Raw genomic sequence first — 26,499 nt, 5'->3', positions numbered from 1 at the left:
ACTATCTTGACCTTTGTCTCTACCTAAATACATGCTCCCTTTGAGGACGTCAGCAGACACACAAGAAACAACTGCTTCCAGTTCTCCTAGTGCGATACTACACACACCCTCCACCCTGGCCATCACACATGGCTTGGTTCACTCATCCAGCAGAGCAAATGCACACTACTCATAAGCGTTCACATCCCCAAACTTGTGCATGCACACAGACTAGATGTGTCGGGACCCTGTGTGTACCTTTCAGAACCCCCGTTCATTGACCCATCAGGATGTCTACTGTCCATTCAACCACGTGCTCTCCAGGGAACATTAACTAACATCCCAAACAGGCAGGCCATCAAAGTGATAACAGGGACTTTCATTCTGGGACCAAACAATCCCTTTAGCCGGAAGCCTTCTGAATAGCAAACCACCAACTCCCAGTTTGACAAGACTGACTCCTTTCGAGAGTTCCCTGGGAGCCAGGGCCATTTAGACAGCTTCCCAGGGCATAGAAGCCAGGCCTAGCTAGATACCACCAGCACACATAGTCTTTCCAAAGCAGAGCCATGCACAGAGGCTCCCAACACATCACCAACTTCTCTTGGGAAAACGCACTAAGGCAGGCACCACTGCTTGCCCTCCAAAATCAGGATCAAAGCTTCTGGACTAAGAGGCTGAATGAGTGTCTCCTTCCTGACCGCCTCCATGTCCTGCAGGCCAGAAGCTGCCTGCAGACTCCTCATGCCCTTCAGCTTCTATCATCTGCCTGCCAGGTATGGGCTGGGCAGTTGGGCCCAGCAAAGACCCCCAGGCCAAGAGGGAGCACCAAGACCAGGGAGAGCAGCCCCCAGTGCTCACTCCCATTTGCTCATGCTCAGGGGCCACTTTTGTTCTCCCTTTCTGCCTGCTCCCCTCTCTCCCAGTCCTCTCCAATCCTTCCTCTCTGATTTCTTGATTCTACTGTGCCTGCAGGGTGAACACAGTTCTCCTCCCAGCCTGCTGCCCTGCCTCAGCCCTGCCAGGAGCCACCGGTCCTGTCCCTGGCTTGTTCTGTTCCCAGGTGGCAGCAGAGAGAAATCTGTGGTTCAGGCAGGACTGAGGGCAGGCAGAGGAGGAAGTCCACAGCAACCTGGTCAAAGGCTCTGGGTGGAGATGGCTCTCGAATCTGCAACCCCCAGCAGGCAGGGGCCTGCCTCCCTCCCTTTTGGCTGCTCTCCTACTCTCCCTCTCCAGCCTGCCAGGGACTAGGCTGGAGCCACTGCTGGCCTGCCTCACAGCCTGCCGAGAGGGGCCACAGCCAGACCATTGCGGCACACTCATGAGGTTTCCTCTCAGAAAGGGCTGCATAGCTCCAGCCAGGCCGCTATTCCTCCCATGCCATTTCCTTCGCTCCATACTCTTCTCAGAAACCTGCTTACCTTCCTCTTCCCCTTTCTCCTTCATCACCTCTGGGCCCCTCCTCAGGGCCCATCAGCCTGTACTACCAGATGCCTGGAGCTCAGGTTTCCTCCCACCACCCCCAAGACCTTGCAGGGCCACTGAAGGCCCCAGCTCGGATGAGCAAATCCAAGCTCCCCTTGCGGGCTCTGCCGTGCCATTTCCTGCTCAGCCATGTGCTCCAATCCCGAACAACCCTGTCCAGCCCAAGGCAGCGCCCTTCCTTCCACCTCTCAGCTTCATCGCTTCCTGCCTCACTCTCCCAGTCCTCATCCTCACTTTCTGCCTCTCCCTACCCACACCCCACCTCTCCTCCTCCGGCTATAGGGAGTCATAATCTCTCCTCCACTGCCTTCCCCAGGAGCTTCTGGACCAAGGGACCCAGGAAATGTCCCATCCCCTTCCACTTGCGTGGATGTTACTGCCCTGGTCTAAGGCAGAGAGATAAGTCCATCCAGTCAGGTCAACCAAAGGCTGCTGAATGCTGGCCAATGGATGGAATCAGGCCCAAAGTTGAGTTTTATTCGGTCAGCAGAGAGTTTTTTAAAATCCGGTCTTCCTGCATCACTGCCTGCAGGCAGGGCCCATGTGCTCCGGCTGTTTGTCCAGTTCTCACCACTTTTCATCTCATATTCTGGAGCCTCTTCCTGCTGGGGCCTGGGAGTCTTTTGTGCTCATGACTCCTGCAGCCACAGCGCATCTCCATCATTGCTTTTGGCAAACCCCAGTCTGGACTTCTGGGCACTGCTTTCCTTCCCCCAACATCCCTACAACAAACCTGAACGTTTCTAGAATAGAATGGCACCTGACGGCCGGGCGCGGTGGCTCACGCCTGTAATCCCAGCAATCTGGGAGGCCGAGGCGGGCGGATCACGAGGTCAGGAGATCGAGACCATCCCGGCTAACATGGTGAAACCCCATCTCTACTAAAAATACAAAAAATTAGCCGGGCGTGGTGGTGGGCGCCTATAGTCCCAGCTACTCGGGAGGTTGAGGCAGGAGAATGGCGTGAACCCGGGAGGCGGAGCTTGCAGTGAGCTGAGATCGTGCCATTGCACTCCAGCCTGGGCAACAGAGCAAGACTCCGTCTCAAAAAAAAAAAAAAAGAATGGCACCTGACTCGCTCCCCCTGCCCTGCTCTCTTTCTATCTCTTTCCTTCTCCCTTGGAAAACACAAAATCTGTTCTCATTACATTATCTCTCAGAAAACAAAAGAAAGGGCCTCATTTCTCCCATGGTTGATTGCGGATGTGCCATGAGGGGACCCTGGCTCTACGGCCTCGCCTGTCTACCTCTTTCCTGCACACTTCCTCTCTTACCTGAGAGTTCCCAGCCTACAAGAGGCTGCTCCCTCTCCTACAGCGCCAGACCATTCTTCTTTAGCTTCCCATACCCTCAACAGCTCCCCTGTGCCCAGCCTTCCTCAGGAGACCTGAGGCTGCCTCTGCCATCACGCCTCATCTACACCCCAAGCCTTCTGCAGTGGCCAGCTCTGCATTTCTCACAAACAGTAAGCCTCTTCCCTATGCCCCTCACACCTGGATGATTGAGGAAAGACTTGCAGGCTGGCCCTGGGGTGAGCTCTGCCCACCGTTGTGTCCCAGGGCTGCTACCATGCCTCCCACTGCGGGACCACAGCTTTGGAGGAAGGATTGTGTTGGGAAGAGCGCCTTCTTGGCTGCTTATGCAATTGGTCCCTAACTAATCCTGCCAACAGGGCTTGGACCCAAGTATCAAAGTAAGGATGGACAGCTGGTCGCACAGCTCTTGTGGCATCATTGTAGCAAAGCCCCTCTTATCCAGGGTTAACTGGACTATAGAGTGTTACAATGCAAATAACTGAAGGAAAATGTGGCTCCAATTTGCCTAGACTGTGAAATGAGGAATCTTCAGCCTAGCCTTATTGCTGCTGCCACTTCGCCCAGTGGCCCAATGACTACTTGCCAATTGATCTGATGGCCCAAGTACAAGGTGTCCAGCCTTGCCTGTGACTGCAGGTCATGTCCTGTGAGCCTTCCTCCCTTTTCTCCTCTTGGCCTCAGGGCCTTTTCACCTAAAAGCAGACATAGGTAGGTACCCACAAACACACACAAATCCACACGCACAGAAGATATCAACTTCTACACTGCAAACCATCATGAATATATTCAAGCCATGCCTTGCTAGCCCCAAAACAAATAGCCTGTTCCACAAGAGAAAACCATCTCAACCTAGTAGTTCAGTGGTAGATAGAAAAACCAAACGTGATTTAATGTTTCAGCTGTCTAATATTTCACTTGCTATTTGGGCATTGGTTGTGAGACTCTATTTCCCACATCTCAGTTTCAGGAGCCCTTTCCCCTTCTCTGGACTCAACTGCATGGCTGGGGAGCTGCACTGGGGATAGCTGCACCTGAAGCTGCTTCCCCTGCAAGAATCTGAGCTCTGGACACCTGGCTTGGAGGGGCGGGGGAAGTGTGAGAAGAAACAGCAGGGATGCAGAGAACTGGCAGGTCGGATGAGCATTCTTTTAAAGGACAGGAAGTGAAAAATAAATTATTTTCAGTGTACAGATGCTCCTTAACTCACAACAGGGTAATGGCTCGATAAGTTGAAAATATTGTAAGCTGAAAATGCATTGAATACAGCTAATCTATGGAACATCATAGGTCAGCCTAGCCTACCTTAAACATGCTCAAAACATTTACAGTTGGCCAAAGTCATCTAACACAAAGACTATTTTATACCAAAGTGTTGGATATCTCATGCAATTTATTGAATACTGTATTGAAAGTGAGAAACAGAATGGTTGTTTGGGTACTTGAAGTATGATTTCTACTGGATGCTTGTCACTTTTACACCATTGTTCTCTTCTTAATATAAAAACTCCAATTCCAGGTAGACACAAGGAGGGGGTGAAGATAGACTTGAGTATTAAGAGGCAACCTGCAGAGTAGCTATTGTTGGACACCTAAGAAGCTGGGAGCGGACAATGGGGCTCTTTCATCAGTCCTGCTAAGAAGACTGGGAAGCAGGACCCCTATCCCATGTGGGCTCATAGGAACCCCCTTTTCAGAGGGGTTTTAGGGGGTATGGAGTGTGATTAATCTTCCACACCAGTTACTACTATTGTTCCTCTTTCTGTAGAAGCTGTAACATTCTAGTCCGCAAGCACATGCCATCATGCATAGTCACACTCTCCCATGTGCACCAGAACAAGCCCATTTCCCAAATGCTGTCCAAAACACATGTTCCCTACCACCTCAACTTCCAACATTGCCTGTCATTCCCTGGGTCTATTTTGCACAATACTCCCCATCTAATACCAACATGCATATGAAGCTATTGCTCTCCCCTGCCACATCTCCACCCCTTCCCTAATCTCCCCTACTCCAGGCACCCCTGTTTCCCTTCTCTAGGGGCTGCTCCTGTTTGGCCCCATCTCCACTTGGCTAATTCCCCCTGTGGCCCCTCTATTGAACTGTTGTGTTGTCCATTTCCCTGTGACAAGGGCTCTGGTTACAGAGTTATTGATTGGTTTTCATGCAGACAGATGGGCCCTTCCTGGGCTCCCATCGAAATCTCTGGCTGTATGGGCTGATTGTTGCCTCTCAGGGTGTAGGATTGCACTGGAGACCACCCTCCACGCAGCCTCCTTTGCCCAGGCCATGAACGGTAATAAATGGAGGCAGCCTGAGCGATAATAAAAGCAATTGAGTAGGTTACCTGTGCAGACACAAGATTTATGCCTCTTCATATTTGATGTGATTGTTTTATTGAGTTCTCAGAACAGTTGGGACACTATTTATTTATTCATTTTGGGTTTTCCCTCTCTTTTCTTCTTTGCGTCACCTTCTGAAATGCACCTGGAGCTGTTGTCAGGCCCAGTGCCTCCTGTCTGCCTCTTCTCGAGAGTTGCCAGCTGAGGTAGGAAGGCAGGGCAAGCAGCAATTGCTCTCACCAGAAACCCCTTTTGTAGCCTGAACACCCACAGAACCAGCCAACAGGGAGACAGTCAGACCAACAGGACTGTGGGCCAGGAAGCCCAGGCTAAAACAACTACAAAAACAAAAAGAGGCTTTTCAGGAGGACAACTCCAGCTCATTTTAAGGAATGAGAATTTCAACCATCATGCCTGTTTCAAATGTTATTCCAATGATGGGTAACCTCACAGTAGGGGACTGTCTCTGGGAAAGGACAGGTGAGCGAGGCTTCTCTGACAGAAATTGGCATGTTGGTCTGCTATTTGTGGGCCCAATCTGCTAGGCTCAGGCCACAGAAGGTGAGTTCCCTGTCCTTGTTTCTGCCATTCCTCTGTGGATAGAAGTCTTTTTCTGAACTCTCCAACTTGCCCTGTCTCTTTGCCATGAGACCAACAGCCCTGACCACCAAACAGCTACAAAGATATGGAGATGTGGTAGGCAGTACCACCCCTCTGGCCAAGCTTCATGCCAAGCCAGGTCCAAGAGTAGAATAGGCAATGTTCTGGAACCTGAGTTTCAGAGAGGGAGAAACAGACCCTAGCCCGGAACATATCTTCAACATTCACGGGGCTAGGATTAATAGCTCCCAGCTTATTTGGAAAGGTCTTTGAACGAACAACTAGTAGACCATTGTCACCCCACTGCCTGACCCAAGGGGAACAATGACCTGAGAATGACTCAAAGACCTGAGAATGACAGAAGAGGGACACCCAAATGATACAGGATGGAATTCCTTAACACAGCCCTGGGTTGCCACTGCTAGGAGAATGAATGTACTCACCTAGAGCCTAACAGGCTAAGAGAGAGTGTGGATAGTGGGAGATCCGTGAGAAGTTGATTCTGCCAGGGTCCACTCCAAAGATCTAGGGGCAGAGAGTGCCCTGACTCCAAAGAGTGTTAGGCAAGCTAAAAAAGTTAGAAGGTGACACCCTTATTGTCAGCTCTTCCCAAAAGAGCACCCTCGGGGGATTGTCAGTAACCCCAGACTCTATTTGGGGTCTGTGCCTGTTCTTTCAAAGGAGGTGTATTCTCTGCCCAGAGTAACAGCCAAACCAGAAGATTTTGGCATATAATCAGGAAAATCCCTCCTGCTTAGACAATTGCTCAGCTATGTAACTAGACGACTTTTTCCTTTTTCAGTAGCATGGATCTCCCTCCACCTCTCCCCTCTCCAGGCCATGTCCCACACCAGGTTTCAATCTAAAGTCCCCTGTTTATAAACACCTGCCCTTTACAGCAGCGGTGTACAAACCAAAAAGCTGGCAACTCCATGCTCAGCCATTGGTAACCCAATGTTTAGAAAGATTCAGATAAATTCCACATGCTAAGGAGCCCAGTCAAGCCTTGGGATTTTTGAACGTGGTTTGTGGCAGTGGGGAGGCCTTCCTGACCCAGTCCTCTGGTTCAGAGAGGCATTTCTGAGGATTTGCTAGTGGAGAATACAGGCTGGATGGCCAGGCCTTTATCACAACAGAATCAGAGAATGCCAAAACCATTTTTAAAGAGTGAAAAAAGCAATTTAGTTTATAACCATAACAGCATATTTCAAGTGTGGCGACAGCATCTGTTTTGGGAAGGAGAAGATGAAAAACCACTAGCTCAGGTGGGTGAGCATGTGTGGACTTCTTTTCTTGCCAACCACCAGCTCATGCACAACCTTACTCATAACTGTTATAAAGTACCCAACACAAGTGGGCAGGTCACTACCAACAAAGCTCTAAACTCAAGAACCACCCGTTCCCCGGTGCACCACACTTTGTGCACACAGGAAAATCTCCGGGCTCTTCCTACAGTGAGTGAGAATTCCCAGAACTGATAAAAGGCAAAGTTTCTGATATAACCAGCACTAGCAGAAACATCCTGTTTTTATCAGGCTTTTGGGTGAAACAATACATCTCAGATAAACCTTCCCTCTTCAGAGCAAAAAGCACCTACAGGGATGAAGATGAGAGCGTGGTTCCCCAGGTGGATTTCTCCAGCCCCAACTCAGCAGCACACAGGGAAGCCCCCAGAATTCTTTCCAAAATATGAACCATGAGAGGATTCTGGACAAAAGCAAAATTGGGAATAGTTTTCCTGCTCCTTGTAGACAAAGCCAGCCATGAAGCCTAACTACGGACCCAGGGTAGGCTGCCCGTGTTGTTGGTGGCTTACCTGTTCCTCTCCTCCTACTCCCTCTCCATCTCCAGCAACATCTGCCCACAGATGGCTATTTCTCCACACCCAAAGGAAGCCTGTGTGCCCCTCAGGTGATAGGGCTCTGTGCTGGGCAGGTTCTGCAGCTGTCACAGCTGTCAAGCTGAGGCTACTCTTTCCCCACCCTCATCTCACTTGTGGCTCACTTGTCTACTTTGTCCTAATTCTGGTGGGTGCACCTCAAGACCTCTGGAGCTTGATCCTAGGGTCACCTGGCCCTTGTTCTCCATGGCTTTTCAGGATAGAAGTATTTCCAAACTTATGCCTAAGCCAGCTTCCAAAATCATCTCAGCCAATGAGGAGTGCATGTTGTTGAGGGGAGGGGCAGGGGGTGTTGGACGGGGCCACCACACCTGACTTGTTGCGCCACTCCTCTACCCCATTCAAGAGAAACAAATTACCTAAATCCTACATGACTTGGGTTTCTCCAAAGGCTTGAAAATTCTGTTACTGACAACAAGCATTTCTCTTAAATGTTCTGCAGAAGACCACTACCCAGTCCCAGCAACACTGCACACAGCAGGGCCACTCTTGGCCCTTGGCTGTTCTTCTCTTGAGATCTCAGTTCCAACTCATGCCCAGGACCAGCAATCAGCCAAGAGACTGAGTCTCTACATGGCTCATAAAACAATGCTTTGTCCCCTTCCCCTCCCGAAGTGCCACTCTTGCCTCAGCCCAAAGCTGCCCCAGCCTCCTCTCCTGGCTTTTAAAGCAAAGGGCTTATTCCTCTCCCAAACCACCCAGCGTCTTTCTCCAGCTCCTTTGGAAGGTATCTGAATGTCAAATCGCTATGCTTTCAATACCTGGCTGAGCCAGGCCGAGGGAGCTGGAGGGTTTTCGGAGGGTGTATAATTAGCTGATCAGTATTATGTTACCCTGTTCATAACTGAATAACCATTTTAATACAGATGGCACACACTGGGATAATTTCTGGGGTCGCCTCGCAGTACATTACAGCACGAGTGTGGCAGAGGGAATCTTCTTTAGCCAAGGTACATTCTACCAGCTAATTTTACCTGCTGTTTTCAGGATGATTTGGGATAATTCCATATCATTTGCAAAATATTTAAAAAATCCTTTATATGTGATGCCAATTTCAGAATAAGGCACCATGTGAATTATTAGTTGCCCTGATAATGAGCTTATGAAGAATGCAAAAAATAACAAAGGTATGAACTGCTTAGCCCTCTTTTCATTTTGGGGTGTCTCAAAATGGGGGGCCAAGGCTGGTGTGTGACTTGTGCAGGGACTCTGTGAACAACTGTCAGTTTGTACAGTTCTGTGATCTTGAAACCAGCCTGGGTTCCTGAGCCCAGTGCTGCTTGTATGTTCTGTAGCTACCACAGATAGGCATATTGGCACACTGGCTAGGGTGGACATGCATGGAGTGTGCACATGTGTTCTCCCCGAGAGCACACTGGAGGGGTTTGGAGACCAGGAGACCTAAATATCCTACACGTCAAGCTGACTCAGCCCTGTGCTGTCCTCACGTGTGTGAGCCTGTCATCAGTGCAAAGACTTCAGCCTGGAGACAGGCACCTTAGGTGGTTGAGGGTATCACCCAAGGTTCAGTCTCAAAGTCTGGAGTTCTCCCTCCCTGCTTGGCACTCCCTCCTTGTCCAGCTCCTCTACTCCCTGCCAGTTGCTGGCTGGTGGTTGGCATTTGTTCTGCAAGCCCGGATCCCAGTGCCTACAGGCCAGAAATTTGTGTGGAGCTGGCTAGCAAGACCAGACTCCTGGGAGGTGAGCTTTGTGGGAGTTGGCAGGGAGGGTGAGGGAGCCAGGACAAGCGGCGGCCCCTGGGGAAGGAGCAGCCTTTAGAAAGGCCAGTCTGTTTGGAGGGATGAATAGACACTGGTCATTTTAAAGGCTCCGGCTGCAGGCTGTGATTGTCTCAAGATCCCAAGGCTGGATGCTCGTAATCTTGGAGTCTTAATTACCACAAACACTTGGATTCATTTCCAGGACGCCGGCGGGAGAAGCCTGGCAGGGAATACCCAGCCCTGAACTGCAGACAGCCCTGTCTGTCTGTCTAACTCTCTGCCTCACAGGTTCCCTTTCTCTGACAGAAGGATTTGGGGCTGGAAGCAGGGAGAAAGGGCAGAGGCTGGACAAAGAGCAGAGACTGGGCGTGGGACACCCCTGCAGGCAGGAGCCAGGAGCTGGAGTCCAGCCCTGAAAACCCGGGTGGCTTGCTCACCTGTTGATGGAAGAGACGCTGGGCACTGTGTCATTGTCACAGATGCCCTCGGCCAGGAGCCGGTCTCGAATCTCCCAGGCGAACATAGTCGGGTTCTGTCGTTTGTATTCAGCAATCTTGTCCACCACTTTGGGCGTCGCCACTTTGGGCTTGGAGCCACCGATCACACCCGGCTTGATGCTGCCGGTCTCGTAGTACCTGCGCCGGGAAAGCCGGCGGGGTCAGCCAGAAGCGGACTGTGGCGGGGCAGGGGGGCTGCAGGTTCCAGAGCTGCTGAGCCACTCTCCTGCCCGGCCGAGGCAGCGGAGTGGAGGGAAAAGGCCCAGTGTGGCTGAGCTGACTTCCTGAGGGTGCCTGGCTAGGAGGAGCGCCGCGGAGTAGGAGGACAAGGGGTACCATCCCTCCAGGGAGACGGCCACACCAGGGGCTGGGTTCGCACCAGCCCAAATAGGCACCCGTGGGAGTGAAAGCCCAGCCTTTCACTTGGGAAGAGCAAAACGAACAGCGCTGCAAGGTCTCTGGGAGGCCAGGGTTGAGGCACCACCTCGAGCCCTTTCCTACTGGGCACAGAGCATCTGTGGGAACCAGGACCCTCCTTCTGCCTCCCAAATGCTGCTGCTTCTCCTCTCGGGGACCCATTTTCACTCCCCCCCCATTCCTCTAATGTCTCCCACCCCGTATCTGCCTTAACTCCATTAGGAAAGTCATCCTTCCCTTTCTGAAGCCAGAAACGGGCTGCCTTCTCACCAGGGACCAGGGGCAGGGCAAGCACTGGGTGACACTGCGCCACCCTCGCTCCTGGGTCTTCAGCCACCATCTGAACACTCTCTCCAAAAGGAGCACCTCTCCAGACCCCTTTGGGGATCTCCCTCTCTGGCTTGGCACGCTGGACTTTTAGCCACGTCCTCCAGCTGGAGACCCAGGGCTGGCCGGGGAAGTAGGCAAGGCGTCTCCCGGGACAGCTGCGAAGCCCTCACCTGCCCAGGATTTTGCTGACACAGCCGTGGCTGACCCGCAGCTGCCGGGAGATGTCACAGGGCCGCACACCCTGGTGGGCCAGCTCCACGATGCGCTGCCTCACCACGTCGGGTAGGGGCCGGCCGTTCACAAACACCCCCCCGAGCTGGTTCACACCCCCGTGCCCTGCTGGGGAGAGACAAGAAAAAAACACAACACCCCACACACAGCAGGGACCGGCCATTAGTCAGGGTCCGCGGCCCGGGACGGGCGAAGGAAGCAGGCAGGGCGGAAGGGCATGTTCCCGAGCTTGAGAAGAAAGGTGGTGGACCTCCACGACCACGCGGAGGAGTGGGGACTGGAAGCACAGACGCTGGGCTGAAGACTGGGGGCTGGGCGAGAGGGCGACTCAGGCCTTGCGACGCAAGGTAGAAAGCAAAGGGGGGACTGGAGAGAAACCAGATGACAGAAAAGAGGGGAGAGGGGAGAAAATGCCAAAGGGGAATTCATGCCAGCGGAAAGGGCGTAAGAAAGCGAGGAGAGGAAGGGCCTGGCAGAGGACTGGACTAGTGCGAAGCAGCATCCCGCCTGCGCCGCAGGCAACCCGGGAGCTGTCCGCGCGTGCGGGGCTTGGAGGCGGACGATTTGGGGGCGTCGAGGCTCGGCTGACTGTTTATCCGAGCTCCTAGCACAGACAGGGGATAAGTGCCTGACACACACACCCCCCTTTGCTCTCTGCCTCTTCTTTAAAAAGTATTAAATTGTAATCGGAATTTTTCTACCTCTTTCCTGTGTTGTTTGTTTTTGATGGGAAGTTTTTCTAATGTTATTTATCTGTAGGGGGACCGTATCTCTCTTTCACCTCCTTAGTATCTGAAGTAGAGCAAGGAAGGCGGATGAGGCAGGGGCCCGGGGTCTGCTGCGCTCAGAGACAGGGAGGCAGAGCGGCTCCAGGCAGCAGGCAGAGAATGCCGGCTGCTTGGGCTCGCCTGCCTGCCGCGCCTCGCAGAGCCTGGTTGGGGCCCACCGTCTCGCCCAGGTGGCACGGCATAGGCCTCGCTGGCGAGTTAATAACTCTCGGGGCGCCCTGTGTAGCCGACCCAAACCCGACTCGAGTCCCTTTGACCCCTCAGACCTCGGCAGCCCCCCCAGGAAACCGAGCGGCTCGGGCTTTTGCTCTTTCGGCCAAGAGAAGGGCACGGGGTTTCCAACCCGGCTCCAGCGCGGGCTCCCGATCTCGGAACCGAGGCGGCCACTGGGTGCCAGGCCTGAGGGTGCTTCCTGTGCCCCATTCTCCCTGGCCTACAGCAGTCTAGAAATCCTGCACCCAGAGCGATCAACCCGTAGCCGCAGGTACTGAGCAATCCAAGCGCAGAGACTTCTAGCGGCCGAGTCGGGTCGGCCCGGACTGGCAAGCTGCAGCCCCTGCCCCGCTAGCCTCACGCGAGTTTCGGAGAAAGCGGGGACATCTGTGCCCCCCTCATTTCTCTCCCCTCCCTTTCTCGGGGGGTACCTAGAGCAAGCTCGGTGAAACCCTGGGGAAAGACCTCTGATCGCGTTGCTGGGAGAGACTGAAGCCCCTTCTTTTACCCCCTTGCCCACCCCGTTAATCTCCCTATCTCTAGCCCCACTTCTCACCCTCCCCTCCCTCCAAACCCCGACCATCAATAATTTAGGCCCCGGGAGAACTCGCGTTACCGGTATGAAAAGGCGGCAGCTGCGGGCAGATTAAAGATGAATAATTCAGCCTCCCCGGGCTCAGGGCCCGGCCCCTCAGCCCCAGTCTAAGGGGTGGGGATGGGAAGGGGACACGGCGGGAGTCCAGGGCTGGGGGACTGCAGCGAGTCGGCGCTGAGTCGGGCCTGGAATGCGCCACGGCCGCCAGCACCGACTCGGGCTGCGGTGTCTCACCCACCAGTCCACCGGCCCGCGGGCCCGCGCTGCGGCTCTCTCCCTCCGACCTCTGCTTGGCCGTGCAGAAACCTTTGGGTTTCAAAGTGGCTGCCCGCGGGCAGCCAGGACTCGGCGGACCCCCGGCGGAATCCGCAAAAAAGGAGAACGAGAGCTGTGGCAGCGGGCCGCGAGGCAGGCTGGCTGGGCGAAAACGGCGTGTGGACCCGGTTCCACTCCTCCCGAAAAGGACCGAGGCTTTCCGGCCCGCTCGCCGAGACCCGCGGAGGCCTGATGCCCTCGGCGCGGCTTTCCTGCGCTTGGAAATTACTTAGAAAAATATATTTTATCCCAGAAGTATTTTTAAACGCCCCCCCCAACCCCCGCAACGCTAAATATATGATTAGCGAAAAACACAGCTCTCCCTCCTCGGCTCTCTTGTCCTAAACACAGGTCCAAGCCGGGTCTAAAGTTTCCTTGTGAAAAGTTACAAATTATCCTTAATTATTAATCTGCAGATAGGGAGGAGTTTTCTATTTAGAATTTTAGCTTTTAAAAAAAAAAGCCTGCAAAAAAAATCTCAGAATAGTTTTTCAAGCTAAAGACATGGCATAAATTCAAATTTTATTAAAATAATTCCCTCTTTTCTCTATTTTTTTCTCCCTTCTCCCTTTTCTTCTGTAACATCATGTCAACTTTCTTTCTTTAATTTCCTTTCCCGTGTTTGGATTTCTCTTTTCCTTTCTCCTCAGCTTTGGCATTTGCTTTCCTTTTGTTCTTTCCCCCTCATTTTTTGCTCTTTGCTGACCCCCTGGCCAGGTTGCTGGCTGCGTGATCCTCAATGGGGAGTCGGCAGTCTAGGCAAGGAGCCTCCAGAGCTGAGAGCAGAGCTGCACTCTGCCGGGGGCCCACCTGGAAGGCTGCGCTGCTGGCTCTCTCCCTGACTTCGATTTCTTCTCGGAGCCCCTCTTTGTTTTTAGAGCATCCCCCAGGCAGAGGCAGGGAAAGATGACCATCGTGTCTTGACAACCTGGGATTCCCAATGTGAAGGGAAGGGAAGGCAAGGGAAGGGGGGTGGGAAAGAAAGGAAGAGGAAGAAAATATTTCAAACCAACCCACAAGAAGCCTATGCTGGGCTGGAAGGGCCTGGAGATGCTGAGAGATGAGGGTCAGAAGGGGGCACCCCACCCCCACACTCTTCTGCCCAATTGTCCTGACACTGAGGCTGAATACTCTTGGAGTCTCCTGGACCCCACGACTCTTAAGTTTGAGAAAGATAAAGATGTGGGGAGACAGGAGAGGGAGGCAAACAGAGGAAGAGAGAAAGAGAGAAAAGACAGAGAAAACAACAAAACAACACCCTGAAAACTGCCTGCTAATTTGCCCCCCAGCCCAGGGCAAGAGGCTGACTAGGGAGAGGGTGGCTGGAACCAGGGCTCCGAGGCCGTGGATCCCATGACCTAAGAAGGAGCGGATAGAAAGAGCAAAGGCAGGTGATAGGGATCAGGGAAGGTAGGAAGGCAGGCAGACAGAGAGGTAAGAATGGGTGACAGAAGGCAGGAGAGAAACTGGAGGCATTAGAAACACCGGGCGAGGGAGAGAAAGAACGAAAAGAGGGACCAGAAGCCAGGGAGGCCTCCAAGATGGGACCTGAGCGCGAGGGGCCGGGGCCACGCTGGGACTGGACAGGGTTGGGACGGAGAGCCCCGAGCCGGGACAGGAGCCGGGCGCCGGTACTCACGGTGCATCGCGGAGAAGGGGTCTGCTTTGCAGTGCATATCCATGGGGAGGCAGAGGAGCGGGAGCAGCGCGGCCGCCGCCGCCGTGTCGCCTCTCAAACTCAACTTCAGGACTTGAGGAGAAAAGGGAGGGACGGTGGGGGAGGGAGGATGAGTGAACGCCCGGCTGCTGCGGGGCGCGCGGGGGCGGGGGGCGCAGCACTGCGCTCCCCGCTGGGGCTCCTCCGGGTTGGCCGGAGCTTGCAACTGCAGTAGCCGCAACTTGCCACTGTCGGGGCTCGGGGCTGGGCGGTCAGCAGAATGGCCCCGGGGCGGTGGGCCGGGCCGGGGTGCACTGGGGGCGCATGGCTCGCGCTGCAGCTGCAGCCAGGGCTGAAGCTGGGCGGGGGAGGCGACTCGCTCAGCTCCCCTGGAACCTGGTCATCCGAGAGGCGGTGGTCGGAGAGCGCGCGGGGCGGGGGCGGTCAGAGGGCGCCGGGAGGGGAGCCGGGCCTCTCCAAGTGCTGGCGAGTTGGCGAAGTTGGCAGAGAAGTAGCAATCCCGGGGATGTCCGAGGTGGCGCCTGCGGGAGGGGAGCGCGCGGGCCAGGCCCCCGCCCCCGGAAAAGGCAGGCGCACGCCGCCGCGGCCGAAGGGCCGGGAGGGAGGGAGGGAGCCGAGCGGCGCTGGCAGCTCTGGGCTGGCCCCAGGTGGGTTGCGGCTGCGAGAAGACTCGGCCGGAGACTGGAGCCTCGGCTCCCGGTGTGTGTCTCTCTAAAAGCTGCAAAGCCCCCTCCAGACCTCCTCCCCCTCCCCGCGCCGGGAGATGGATGACTTGTCAGACAAAGGCAATAGATTCCACCACTCTGTGATTCGCCAGCGCTGGAGCCCCGAGCTTCGGCGAGGAGGGCCCCGAGCCTGTCACTCCGGTGCCGGCTAGGGGAGGGCAGGGGAGGGAGAAATGGGAGGGAGGGAGGGAGGGAGCAGCCGGCGAAGGAAGAGGGAGGGAGGGGAGCGGACCGGGGGAGGGGGAATGGGAGCCCGGGATTAAAACTACACTGAGAAACGAAACTCGCCGATAAGATAAACGCTAGATAAGGATAAAGAGCGGTCAGTCTAATGAATATTCAGGTAACGACAGAGGGCCTCGGAGCGCGCTGCGCTGTGAAGCCGGGCTCTCAGTTCTAACTCGCCCAGCCCTGCCATCCACTGGCCAGTGCCCGCCTGGGCCGCGCGGCCCCGGGCCCAGTGCGCATCCCTAGCCCCAACCCCACCACCCTCGGCTCTGAGTTCCCTTCCGTTCCTTCCCGGCTCTTCCTTCCTCTCTTTCTGGTCCTTCCCTTTGGCCTTTCCCTCCGGAGGTACCTTCCCACCCACGCACCCCCCACTTCTCATTCCACGGAAAAGTGTCCAGCAGTTTGTCTTGTCCCCTCCCGTTCCACGCGACTGTGCGCAGGGCCTCCCCAGTCCCCTTGCCCACCGGGTCTGGGCAGTCCAGAACGCTTGGTTCAGAATCGAGCTGAAGACCTCCGGCGAGTACCCACCTGCCTCGGTGGGACCCAGCGGATGGCGGGAGAGCCGGGGGACTTGGTTTCTGAACCCTCGGGTGACTGGGAAGGGGGTACAGGGGAGGGAAACAGTGCGGAGCTGCAGGTCGCTGGCGGCAGAGGATGTGGGAGACGAGGCTGGCTCTCCCCGGCTGGGGAGAAGAGGAGGCTGCGGACGCGGCTGAGCGCCGCCCGCTGCTAGCTCGGTGGATCCGGGGCGAGCGCAGGAGGCGCAACCACGGGGACGTCCCCACTCCTGCCGGAGCCTCCGCAGCTCTCTCTGGCACTAGCTCCCTTGCTCGCTGGGGTCCGCTCGCACGCACCAGGCAGAAGAAGCCCTTTGTCTCCTAACTGGTTAAGTACAGAATATCCGGGAGATCTTCATGAAATATTTTCCCTCGTCTCATAAATCATCTTGGCACTTCAGCTGATGTTTTAACTCTCTCTCCCTCCTTCGCTCCCTCCCCCCGCTTCCCTGGGTCTGCGAAAGGGCGGCTCGGCGAAGCTTGCGCAGCGCTCTTGCAGCCCGAATCCGAGATTCCTCCAGCCCCCGTCTGCAGCTCCGGGCGCCCCGCGGAAGCGCGGCGGACTCGCGCTCCCCTCCCTCTGGCCGGAGCCTGGGCGGCAGATACCATGGGGAGAGATGCACCTGCCTGACTCAGCCTAACTACTACTACTGGGCGTCTTGTACCCGGGTTTTTGGGATGCCCTTATTCCTCAGGAGGAGCTCAGGCCAGGCTCAGCGGGACGAGGTTCTGAGCCTCTCACTCCTGTGGGGCCTGGGTCCGCTGGGATCCTGGCATTTGCCCTCCCTCCTGTATCCTCCAGAGCCCAATAAGCTTAATCCACCTGCGGGGTAAAGTCTGGGAGGAAAACACTCCTCACCGCCTGCCCCTCCCAGCCCCTATCCCACTTCCCTTGGGTGGCTAGGCAGGTTGGTTCCCTTGGGCTAGAGGTTGAAGACGCAGGGCCTAGCCTCTAAGGTCAGTCTCTTCCTCTTGAGGCCTGCAGATGGCGCTCCCGGGTTTGCTTTGGCCTCACAACCCCACGAACACGCACTAACTTCGTGTAGGGACCGAAGAAGGAAAACAGTTCGGGCAGCCGAAAAGTAACAGCTCCCAGGCCAGAGTGCAAGGGATCTCAGGTGGTATTAGCTAGCACAGCCTTGGCTTTCCCCTCTGGGAAGTAATTAACCCAGAACTGGGGTGAAAGGAACGTTGAGAAAGGGTCCTTATTTAGAGGAGCTCAGAACTAAAGTAACCTTTGCCCCAGGTCTCTCCAAGTTGGTCATCCAGGAATTTGTCTCGGGGTGTGTGAACTATTGAAGGAAGAAAGCTGTGAGTAAACCCCCCCCCTTCCACACAGACACAGATTTTTCTAGAACCAGCTAGACATGTCCCTATGTTACAAGTACCATGAAATGTGGGTGCCCACAACAAGCATTTTCACATGTTGGGCGAGAAGGATTTTCCATTTTGTAGAGAAGGGGACTTAATGCGCCAAGTGTGCTGGAAGTTGTCCTCACACACCTGTCCTTCACATGCACCTTCTGAGGAGTAAAGACCCTTCTGATAGTCCCATTCCCAGGTAGCCCCTGAGAGTCCCCCCTGCTCCTGGGATCGTCTCCCCAGCACTGCACTAGCTGGACACTCACTCTTCCGCCAGGCCGGCTCCTGGCCGCTTCCCCATTAGCTCCAGCCCATTCCTGGGTCTAGAGAGTCAAAGAGTAATGCTCCCTGGAGATTAGGAACCCCTTTTCTCCAAAGCTCTGCCTTCTCCTGGGGCTCCAGGATGAAGGGCTGGCCTTCATCCAGTCACTGGCCGCTCCTCTGACTCCCCCTTTTCTGTTCTCTTTCTTCTATACAGTCTAGTAGAGGGGTGGGGGGAAGCAAGAAAGCAAAAAAAAAAAAAAAAAAAAAAAAAAAAAAAAAAAAAAAGGAAGAAAGAAGAGGAAAGGGGAAAAGAAAGAGAAAGAAAGAAAACAACCCAACCCCAAACACTACCCGGGCTCCGACCTGTCAGGGTTGGTTGCTTTTCCCGTCCGCCTCTAAATGAACCTTTTCTCTCTGGTGTTTTCAAAGCGGCCCTTCCACCCCCCAACCTAGGGGCATTTACACTTCAAACAAGGAGCCCGCCTCCCTGCGGAAATTTAAAGGCAAATAAACTTTTGGGGAGTTGCTCTGATACCCATCTCGGGATTTGCTTCATTAGCCGCCTCTGTGCATCTGATCTGCCCAATAAATCTTCCTTGTGGATCTCGGCTCCTTTGCCTTCTCGGCTCCCTTCCCTGCCAGGCTTGCCCAGGCGCCTGGCGGCCCCCAACCTTGCCTCCGCCCTCCAGGCCGAGCTACTGCCGGCCTGGTTTTCTGGCTGGGCCGCGCCTGCTCTGTCTGGGTGTAGGTGTCGGGGTGGCGGATAGGCACCCCGCACCTCGAGTGTACCCACGCACCGGCGCCCCAAGCCAAGCCAAGCGCGACTCCAGGGCTCTCAAATGCGTTTCTGGGCATGTTGTGCAAAAGTGAAGTGCCGGTGTAGACCTAGTCCACTGCCCGCTGCCCCGCTGCCACCCGCTCCCGCTGCCTTCCAGAAACCCTTTCTCCTGTTTTCCGGTTTCCAGTTCCCTGGCCCAGCGTTTTCTGCCCAGGCGAGAAAAGGCAGAAGCGTGGTTGCCTCTCCTCCTCCTGCAGGGCCCTGACCCGGGGCCCAGGCGCCCGGCCTCCAGTAGCTTGGGAAGGCGGCTGAGCCTTGGTGAGACGGAGGGGGCCGCGGGAGCATCCCAGCCGCGCCCCTCCCCCGTGGCCGGGACCTGCCTTCCTCCTTCCACTTCCCGGGGAGCGGCTAGGGGAGCTAGGACCGGGGTCTGAGGGAGGGGATTAGAAATTCCGAAATTAAATGCATCTCCCCAGGAAATGCTCCCCACAGCGCGGACCAAATTAAATGCATTAAAGTTCAGAGGGGAAAAAGCTGTTTAGAACCAAGGGGAGAAAAGTAGTCCGAAGGGAAGAGAAGCAGAAAGGGAGGGGAGAGAGGGAGAACAGAGCTGCAGCTCCGCAGCTGAGCTTCATTTCTGGATTATTCCCACTTTTAGAAGTCACCACCAAAAAGAAAAATAAAAGTTCTTCTGACAACCGAACTCCAGAGCCGACCAACCGAGGCTCACTCGCCCTCTGGGTCCCGGCGCACCCCAGGGCGCATACCCTCGGCTGTCAGATCCCAGGGAGCCGAAACTTACACCCCAGCCCCTTCCGCAGAAAGGCCTGACCGGCTCCTGCCCGGCCTTTCCCCCTCCTCCTCCCCATTCTCTCCCCGCCCTTCCCCCTGCCTGGCCCTCTGGTCACGTTGGAGGATGGTTTTTTTTTTTTTTTTTTTTTGGAAGAGCTTCTGGTACAATATGGAGCACCATGGGCTGCAATTTCACACTCCACAGCACATTCCCCCTAAAGCTACTTTCTTTTTTTTTTCATCTAAGACCCCCTAATTTCTGCTTCCTCGCTCCCTCCCTCCCTCCTGCTCTCACTCTTCTTTTCCTGCTTTTGTTCCCAATATTTGGGCTCCCTGCGTGAAGCCCGGGGGGCCTGACTCCCAGCTGGCCCCGCCCGCTCGGTCTGTTGGTCCTGTGGAGTCCAGGCGCACGTGCTGGGCCTTTATCCTCCAGGATCCCTCCCCCTTTAATCTAGCTTCCCCTCACAAGAGGTCTTTGCGACCTGCCCAGCCCTTCACAGGCCCTTTGAGGAGCAACAACAATGCAAGCCACTTGGCCACCAAAGCTGCCTCTTAGTGGCACGGGCCAGCCAGGTGGCTACCGCCCATGGGCCACTCTACTAGGGAACTGAAAAAATAGCGAAGCTGGGAGAAACCCAGCCAGCAGGTCTAGAGAGTAAGAGTGAAGGTCCTGTCCAACAGAGAACAAGCTAAAAGGGCTAGGAGCCCCGTGAGGCCCTGGTACTTCTGGCTCAGACCTGGACACAGCCTGTACCGCCTCCCTAGATACCCATGGACCTCCTAAAGGGGCCACTCACCCCACAGCCTACAGGAAAAAGTGACAGCCACTACATACACAGTCCCTTTGCTTCTTTGAGACTCAGTTTTCTCACCTGTAAAATGGGGATAATTACGCCTGTCTTGTCTACTCCATGGAGCTAATCAATAGGCATTTTGCAAACCCAGACATTTCTCTAGTAGATTATGGAGTAAATGGCCAGCTTTCTGAACTCTTACCCTTTCACAAAGAGGTAAAGGAGGGATCTGAGTGCTAAGGTAGGGCAGGAGGTGGCGTTTTCCACCCAACTTCAATCCTATAAAGGTTACTGGGGATTCCTCCCCGCGCCGCCTTCCTGTTTTATTTTGTTTCCCCTTCTATTGGCTATGCCACACCTGTCCAGGTTTATCGTTCTTCCCTCTGTCTATACCTCCTGCCACTCCTCCATTCCCACTTCCTGCACCCCCCTCCCAACTGCACCAGCGCAGCTGCTAGAGGATCGGTTAAATTCCTCACTGCCCACCCCCCAACCACCACCACCAACAGCCGGGTTAATTGTGGCCTCAGGCGCGGTCCTCTTCAGCCAGTCCGCCAAAACCGTCGGGAGGAGCTGGCCCATTGGCGGAGACCTAGGGAAGGAAATCCCGTCCGGTCCGGTTCCAAACAAAGAAAGTTGGTTCTCCCAGGACCTGCAGTTAATCAGTCAAAGCCAGAGCGGACAGGAGACGGTGGGGAGAGGCCTGGCTGGGAGGAGGCTCGAAGGAGGGAGAGACAGGAGGGGAAGAAAGAGGACCTTAGAGAGTTGCCGAGGGAACTGAGAAGCCACCACCTGTCTCTGGGAGGCCTGAAGAGGCTGGTTTGTGCGAAGCCGAAGTCCCCACCTGGCCAGCTGTCCCCTCCCCTCCTCCCCTAGGCCGGGCGAGAGAGTCGGAGGGAGGCTGAGTGTCGCTGGCGAAGTAATGATTAACTCTCTTAGCAGCCGGCCCGGAGCCCGCGGCCTCATCGGGCTGTGGTCGAGGGAGACGGTGCAGGCTGACCCAGGACGTCCCCGGCGTTACCTCCACAGTCATCGCCGCCGCGACCGTGGGACCTGCGGAGGGTGGGGGCAGGCGACAGCCGGGGGCGGCCGAAAGGGAACGGAGAGCAGGGCCAGGGAAGCACACTCCAGAGGCTGGGAGACCAGAGGGAGCGAAACAGCCACAGCCGAAATACAGGGAAAGGAAGGGTCCCCGCGGGTGAGCGCGCGCGACCGGGCCGCGCTGGGCAGAGTTGGAGAGGGGCGGGAGGACCCGCGCTGAGTTTCCCAGAGTTGCGAGCCGGCACCAAATCTACCGTCTCGGATCCATCCGCGGCGCGCCCGCCTTTCCTTCCTCCTCTCCCAGCAGCTGTGTGGATGTGAGGAGCAGGCGGAGAGCGCGCCACAGCCGGGAGCTGGTAAGGCAGGGGGACCCGCCAGAGAGACTGGGAGGCCCAAAGGGCAGGGCCGCCGAGGCGGGGACAGGCTGCGAGGTGGCTGGAGACAAAGGACCCGAACGCAGGGGAGAGGGGACCAGGGGCGAGAGCGGCTGGCTGAAACAAGGAGAGACCCGAGGAAAGGGGCGTCGTGGGACCCGCCTGGGTTTGTCCACTCCTGCCACCTCCGCCTACGTCCAGCCTGGAGCCAGGACGTCCCAGGGGTTCCTGGCCCGCCGTCTTGGGGCCTCGGGTCGGGGCTAGGGCTGCTGCTGAGAGTTGCGGTGGCTATGGGGGCCGTGTGTGTGTGTGTGTGTGTGTGTGTGTGTGTGTGTCCGCGTGCGCGCGCGCGACGGATTAGGCCCTCGGGGAAAGGGGGAAGGAGGGCCCTCTCTGTAGGGTGAGACCCCTGCCCCAGGCGACTGCCAGCCTCTGCCCTCCAAGGTCCAGAGCCATCCGTTCCCCGAACTTGAAACAAAAGGGCTGAACTGAATCCCTCAGGAGCCAGGACAGGGTCTCTTTCTGGAAAAAATGCTTTGGTTTGAGACTTGCATCTCAAGCGTCACCTACATCCAGAATTATTTCTTAACTTTGTGTAACTGTTCCTAAAAAAGAAAAGCTGCAAGGTAAATGTTGGAAAGAAAAAAATCCCTCAGGTTCCAGGAGTTCGCTCCGCTAGGTCTAGACGGGCTGGGAGGTCTAGACCCGCGGATAACGAATACATTGAAGAAACTGATGGAGGGAGGAAGCCCCTTTCAATTTCTGAATCAATTAAGGAGAATTTCTGATGTGTCTCTTTGGGGGCTGAGCGTCTGGATGAGGGGATCGTAGGAGTGTGCTTGAGTGTTGTGAGGGTGTGTAAAAAGTGCCAGGGGGTGGCGAAGGTAGTATAGGCAGACAGCTGTGTTCCAGGCGGGGCTGAGATGGGAGCTGGGGACCCATATCCAGCACCTCCCCCTCCCTCTCTCCCTTTGCCCTAAGCAGAGGCTGCTCCGAGGCCAAGGCCTCCGCAGCCTCTTCCAGCGGGGCCGCCAATCAATCCTGCAGGTCAACACAGCAGTTAATAACGGGGTGAGGAGGCCTGGCAAAAGAGGGCGGCGAGGCATCAGGCTGTGTCTCCCCCAGGCTCTGAAAGCCTGGCGCCCGAATGGGGAGAGGGAGAGGAGAAGTCTCCCAAGGTAGAAAGAAACCTGGGAACTCAGTGCAGGCCAGGGAGGGAGCTCAGGGCCCCAGAAGGCAGAGGCAGGGGACCAGCGTCAGGGAGCCAGAGAGCCAGCTGGGACAGAGCAGTGCAGAAAAAGGGAGGGCATCGAATAAACGGCTTATTTTTGTAAGTTCTGGGGGTATAGGCAGCGATAGCTGAAGACCACAATTGCCCTAGTTGCTGATTCAATCCCCTTCCTCCTTCTCTCGCCCTTTCCTGATGGTTTTCGCTGCTCCGGAACAGGCTCAGCGAGACTAAGTAAAACCCGCATCCTTCGCAAACCCGGCTGCGGCAGTTGCGCCAGGACGTCCGGCAGGCACGTTCGGTCACGCGCCTCTGTCATTGTCATTTTAAACTAGCCGGATGAGGTCCAAAAGGGCTCGGGGCCGTCTAGGGGGGCAGGGCCTCCAGGGAGTTGTGCCCCGGCCAAACGTGGCTACCGAAGAGATGAGGGAGGGGGCGGTGAAAAGAGAAAGAGGCAAAGGGAGAAGGCGGCTGGGAGGGCGGAAGACTCTGCAGCTCTGCTCTGCGGAGCCGCCTCGAAGTGCGGTTTCCTTTTCCCAAACACAGCCCTGTCTCCTGCCCAGCTCCGCAGCTCCCCCCCGCCTTTCCCGGAGCTGCTGCTGCCTGGAACACGAGACCCGCACCCGCAAAGGCGGGAAAAGAGGGAAGGGAAAGGAAGTGCGGTGCGGAGTCGGGCCGCTGGCCGCTGTGCCACGCGCGCCGGGTAAGCGGCCGCCCTAACCCGTCAGGCCCAAGTAGGTGCAGGCGCCCCTGGGTAAGTGGAGAGTGCCCTGGTCTCTTCTGTAGTATCCTGAGGGCCAGAAAATTTGGAATAAGGACCCTGACAGGCACTCAAGGATGCTCCCCATCACACTGCCTTCTCTTTCCCGAGGTCCTGGGGAGGGGGCCTAGATGCCTTGCTGGGAGACTTGCTGGGACTGAGAACCTGGTTCACAAACCTCAGGCCTGCAATGCAGGCAGAGCGCCTGCCCGGAGGGAAAATGGAAAAGTTGGAGTCTCAGGAGCTTGAGCAAATGGGAAAGGGAAAGAAGGAGGGCAGGGGACAGGAGGTATCAAGGGGCAAAATAGATTCAGAAAGAGTTTGGGAGAGAGAAGCCCTGTGCAGAGAGGAAGAAAGGGGAGAGAGGTTCTCAGGAAGTCCCAGACGTTAGGTCTGTCCTTGGGCTGAATATTTATACGGTCGAGGGGGTGCACAGATGGGCTCTCAATTGAATTCCATCTTCAACACCATCAGAGATTGATTTTGTACTCGCTTTTAATTTTGCCATAATTAATTAGATCATTACAACTGTTTGCTATTGATCTCCCTACTTAAACCTCTGGTGCAGAGGGTCTGCCCAGAGCCCTAAAAGCTCAGGTGGCCACAGTTGACACTCCCGGGGGTTCAGGTTTCCCAGTGGGGACAAGGCCCTAGGAGGGGAATTGGGTACAGCCCAGGGATTGGGTCGAGAAGCTAGATCAAGGGTAGGGCTGGGGGTGGGACCTGGGTTATCAGCTGAAACAACTGGAACCTGAGCTGGGGGAGGGGGGAGCAAGGAATGAGATTTGGGAAAGGTGAGGAGTGAGGCAAAAAAGGCCTCAAATTAGGCCTTGACCTCTGTGGAATTATTTGGAAAACTCTGGAAACCTGTTCCAACCCTCTCCCTCCCCCGAAGTCCAAAACTAAACTTGGGTGCCTGGCTTCCCACCGCTGTACAACACCAGGGCACCTAAAGGGCAGTCCAGAGCTGAGTTGGCAGCCTGGGGGACAAGCGAAGGAAGGAAGAAAAAGAGAGCAACACTCTACTCCCTTAGCCCTTTGGGTAAACATTTTCAGATTCCTCTCCCCACTGGGTCCCCTGGGGCCTGCCACCTGTCCCCATGCTGCCCTTGATTTGGGGTTGGGGGGACACAGCCTTCTCCCTACAGAGGTTAGGCTCATCTACATTAGTGTTCATAATCGAATACATAAGACCCTACACACAGGTACACACAGAGTTTCCCCACCCACTGGCATAGGCGCTGGCCCAGCTCACACTCCCTGCTTACTGGAAGCGAAGGCCTTCCCAATGCTCCCAACTTGGAGGAAGTTGTGCAAAATATCTGTAGCCCAAAGTAGAACGAGAAAGTCCTCAACACACAACAGAAAGGAAAAAGCCAAGTTCTGCAAGCGAAGTTGTAGAACTCACATTTTCTGAGTGGAAAGTTTTCAGAAGGTTTAGAGGACACCGGGAGGGACGGCCCAGGAGGCCCCAGAGTCCGCAGAGCCTCAGTCCCCAGCCTTCACGTCGCCCGCCGGGTACTGAGCACAGGGATGAAAGAGGAGAGGAGCCCGCCCCGGCCATGGCCGCCCCCATCCCTCTCCCCTAGTCCTCGCCTGCGGCGCGGACGGGTCTCTGCCGCTCTTACCTGCCGGACCCGCGCGCTCTTCCATGCTAGGCTCCCCGCGGCCGCCGCGTCCTGGGGCTGGGTCTGGCTGTCCCGCTCCTCCGCGGCCCGACAACGCGTCTCGCCTTCGCCGCCGCCGCCGCCCGGAGATCTGGGCGCAGCCACCCAACACCAAGCGGCTCAGATAACCCGAGCCGCCCGCCGCCACGGCTGTGTGCTCCGCCCGCGCCCGCTCTCTCACTCCCGGCCGCGCAGAGGCTCCGGCACCCCGAGGAGCCCGGGTTCTCCGCCCCGCGCACACGCGTGCACACGCACCGAGGCCCCAGCCAGCCGCAGGCAAGCAGCCACCCTCGCTGCCTGAGGCGCCCACGGACCGCAGCCCAGCCTAGACGCCGGCACACCCTCTCACCCAACCCCCTCTTCTTCACTGTCACACGCCCCCCTCCAGACCCACAGCCTGGCTTCTCGCCTACTTCCCAACTTTGTGCGGTTCCCCTTCCCCACCACTCTCAGCTCTCGGCTCATTCCACTTTCTGGAACGTGAGGCTCCACAGCCTCCCTTTCCAGGATCTCCACAGACATGCCCTAACTTTCTCAGGCCACACAGTGGTTCCAGAAGGGCCCTGTCCCCGCTATGTTCAGGGTGGAAGTGCTCGCTAAATCCCTCACAGGTTCTCCTGCTCCAGGAGCTTTTTTATTTTTAAACTGAATAAAAGAAAAAAGTTCTGGCTTCCTTGCCTTTAAAGAGATGGCGAGGGCGAGGGGGAAAGGGAGGAGGAACTCACCCCTTCCAAACTCCTGCCACACTCACAGGGCCACCCGCTTGAGCCATGCCCGTCCATAGCATTCTGGTCCCAAGTCTCTTATACCCTCAGACTCACACCCTCCTCTTCCAGCACACTGATACTTCCAACCCTGATGAAAGGCCCACTTTATCTTTGCCCACATCACTCCCTCCCAACCTGGAATTTACACCTCTCACACCTTAGCCACAAGCTCTCCCTCAAAACTCTCACACCCTTTGCTCATCTGCACCGTCTTGTACTCCTACTTCAGACACACACACACACCTTCTAAGCACCACAGCTCCCACTCCTCCTTGCCCCAGGGTTCCCCTTCTTCATTTGCTCCACTTAATACCCCTACCCACATACCCTGGGCCTCCCACTTCACAGCCTGGCTCACACTCACGGGGGAAAACTGAGAGGCTATCAAGGAAAGTGCTGGGTAAACCCCCGTGGGCAGGCAGAGGCTGGGGCTGGCCCCATCTTGAGCATACTCCACCAGGCCCCAGGCAGGAAGGCACCAAGGCAAGCCAGGCAGCAGGTTCACCAGGCCCACTGGGCCAACTTCCCTCAGGAATAGGAAAGGGACTCCCACCACTTCAGCTGAACTTCCTCTAGAAAGGTTGTATAACTAGGGACAGGAAGCCAGAGGGGCACAAGAGCCCAGAGGCAAAACCTATATCATGGTTCTGTGACTTAAAATTTAAATATCTTTCTACAAGAATATGATATTTTTACCCTTTCAGGCAAATTATGGCCAAATTATCATCGTACTAATATTTGTGATTTAAAATATCAGA

At 55.8% G+C, this 26,499-nt stretch overlaps 1 protein-coding gene across 7 annotated transcripts in view, besides 5 other annotated features; it reads right to left on the bottom strand.

The window, feature by feature from the left end:
- Positions 1–25,273, bottom strand: part of PAX2 (paired box 2) — a 94,549-nt gene extending 69,276 nt beyond the window's left edge. For 5 of the 7 annotated variants that reach the window (NM_003987.5, NM_003990.5, NM_003988.5 and 2 more), the window contains exons 1-3: positions 14,366–15,087; positions 10,755–10,923; positions 9,778–9,975 (exon numbers count right to left, since the gene is read on the bottom strand). In NM_003987.5, coding sequence (NP_003978.3) covers positions 9,778–9,975; positions 10,755–10,923; positions 14,366–14,408 — 410 coding nt within the window. In that variant the 5' untranslated portion in view covers positions 14,409–15,087. Of the gene's footprint in view, positions 1–9,777; positions 9,976–10,754; positions 10,924–13,231; positions 13,655–14,365; positions 15,088–24,935 lie in introns of those variants that run through there. The other 2 variants (NM_001304569.2, NM_001374303.1) reach the window with 2 other exon arrangements.
- Positions 9,531–10,465: an enhancer, noted in NCBI's record as "H3K4me1 hESC enhancer chr10:102509961-102510895 (GRCh37/hg19 assembly coordinates)". NCBI's record gives its function as "activates a minimal SCP1, AML or CMV promoter by ChIP-STARR-seq in naive H9 embryonic stem cells {active_cell/tissue: H9 hESC(naive)}" and the evidence as "EXISTENCE:reporter gene assay evidence [ECO:0000049][PMID:30033119]".
- Positions 14,355–14,896: an enhancer, noted in NCBI's record as "H3K4me1 hESC enhancer chr10:102505530-102506071 (GRCh37/hg19 assembly coordinates)". NCBI's record gives its function as "activates a minimal SCP1, AML or CMV promoter by ChIP-STARR-seq in naive H9 embryonic stem cells {active_cell/tissue: H9 hESC(naive)}" and the evidence as "EXISTENCE:reporter gene assay evidence [ECO:0000049][PMID:30033119]".
- Positions 15,996–16,045: an enhancer, noted in NCBI's record as "active region_3899". NCBI's record gives its function as "activates an Ori minimal core promoter by ATAC-STARR-seq in GM12878 lymphoblastoid cells {active_cell/tissue: GM12878}" and the evidence as "EXISTENCE:reporter gene assay evidence [ECO:0000049][PMID:35858748]".
- Positions 22,254–22,997: an enhancer, noted in NCBI's record as "OCT4-NANOG-H3K27ac-H3K4me1 hESC enhancer chr10:102497429-102498172 (GRCh37/hg19 assembly coordinates)". NCBI's record gives its function as "activates a minimal SCP1, AML or CMV promoter by ChIP-STARR-seq in naive and primed H9 embryonic stem cells {active_cell/tissue: H9 hESC(naive and primed)}" and the evidence as "EXISTENCE:reporter gene assay evidence [ECO:0000049][PMID:30033119]".
- Positions 22,998–23,743: an enhancer, noted in NCBI's record as "OCT4-NANOG-H3K27ac-H3K4me1 hESC enhancer chr10:102496683-102497428 (GRCh37/hg19 assembly coordinates)". NCBI's record gives its function as "activates a minimal SCP1, AML or CMV promoter by ChIP-STARR-seq in naive H9 embryonic stem cells {active_cell/tissue: H9 hESC(naive)}" and the evidence as "EXISTENCE:reporter gene assay evidence [ECO:0000049][PMID:30033119]".

The sequence above is a fragment of the Homo sapiens genome, chromosome 10 (genome assembly GCF_000001405.40).
Source record: "Homo sapiens chromosome 10, GRCh38.p14 Primary Assembly".
NCBI lineage: Eukaryota > Metazoa > Chordata > Mammalia > Primates > Hominidae > Homo > Homo sapiens.
The sequence above is the reverse complement of the archived record's forward strand: the minus strand, read 5'-3'. Positions and strand labels throughout refer to the sequence as shown.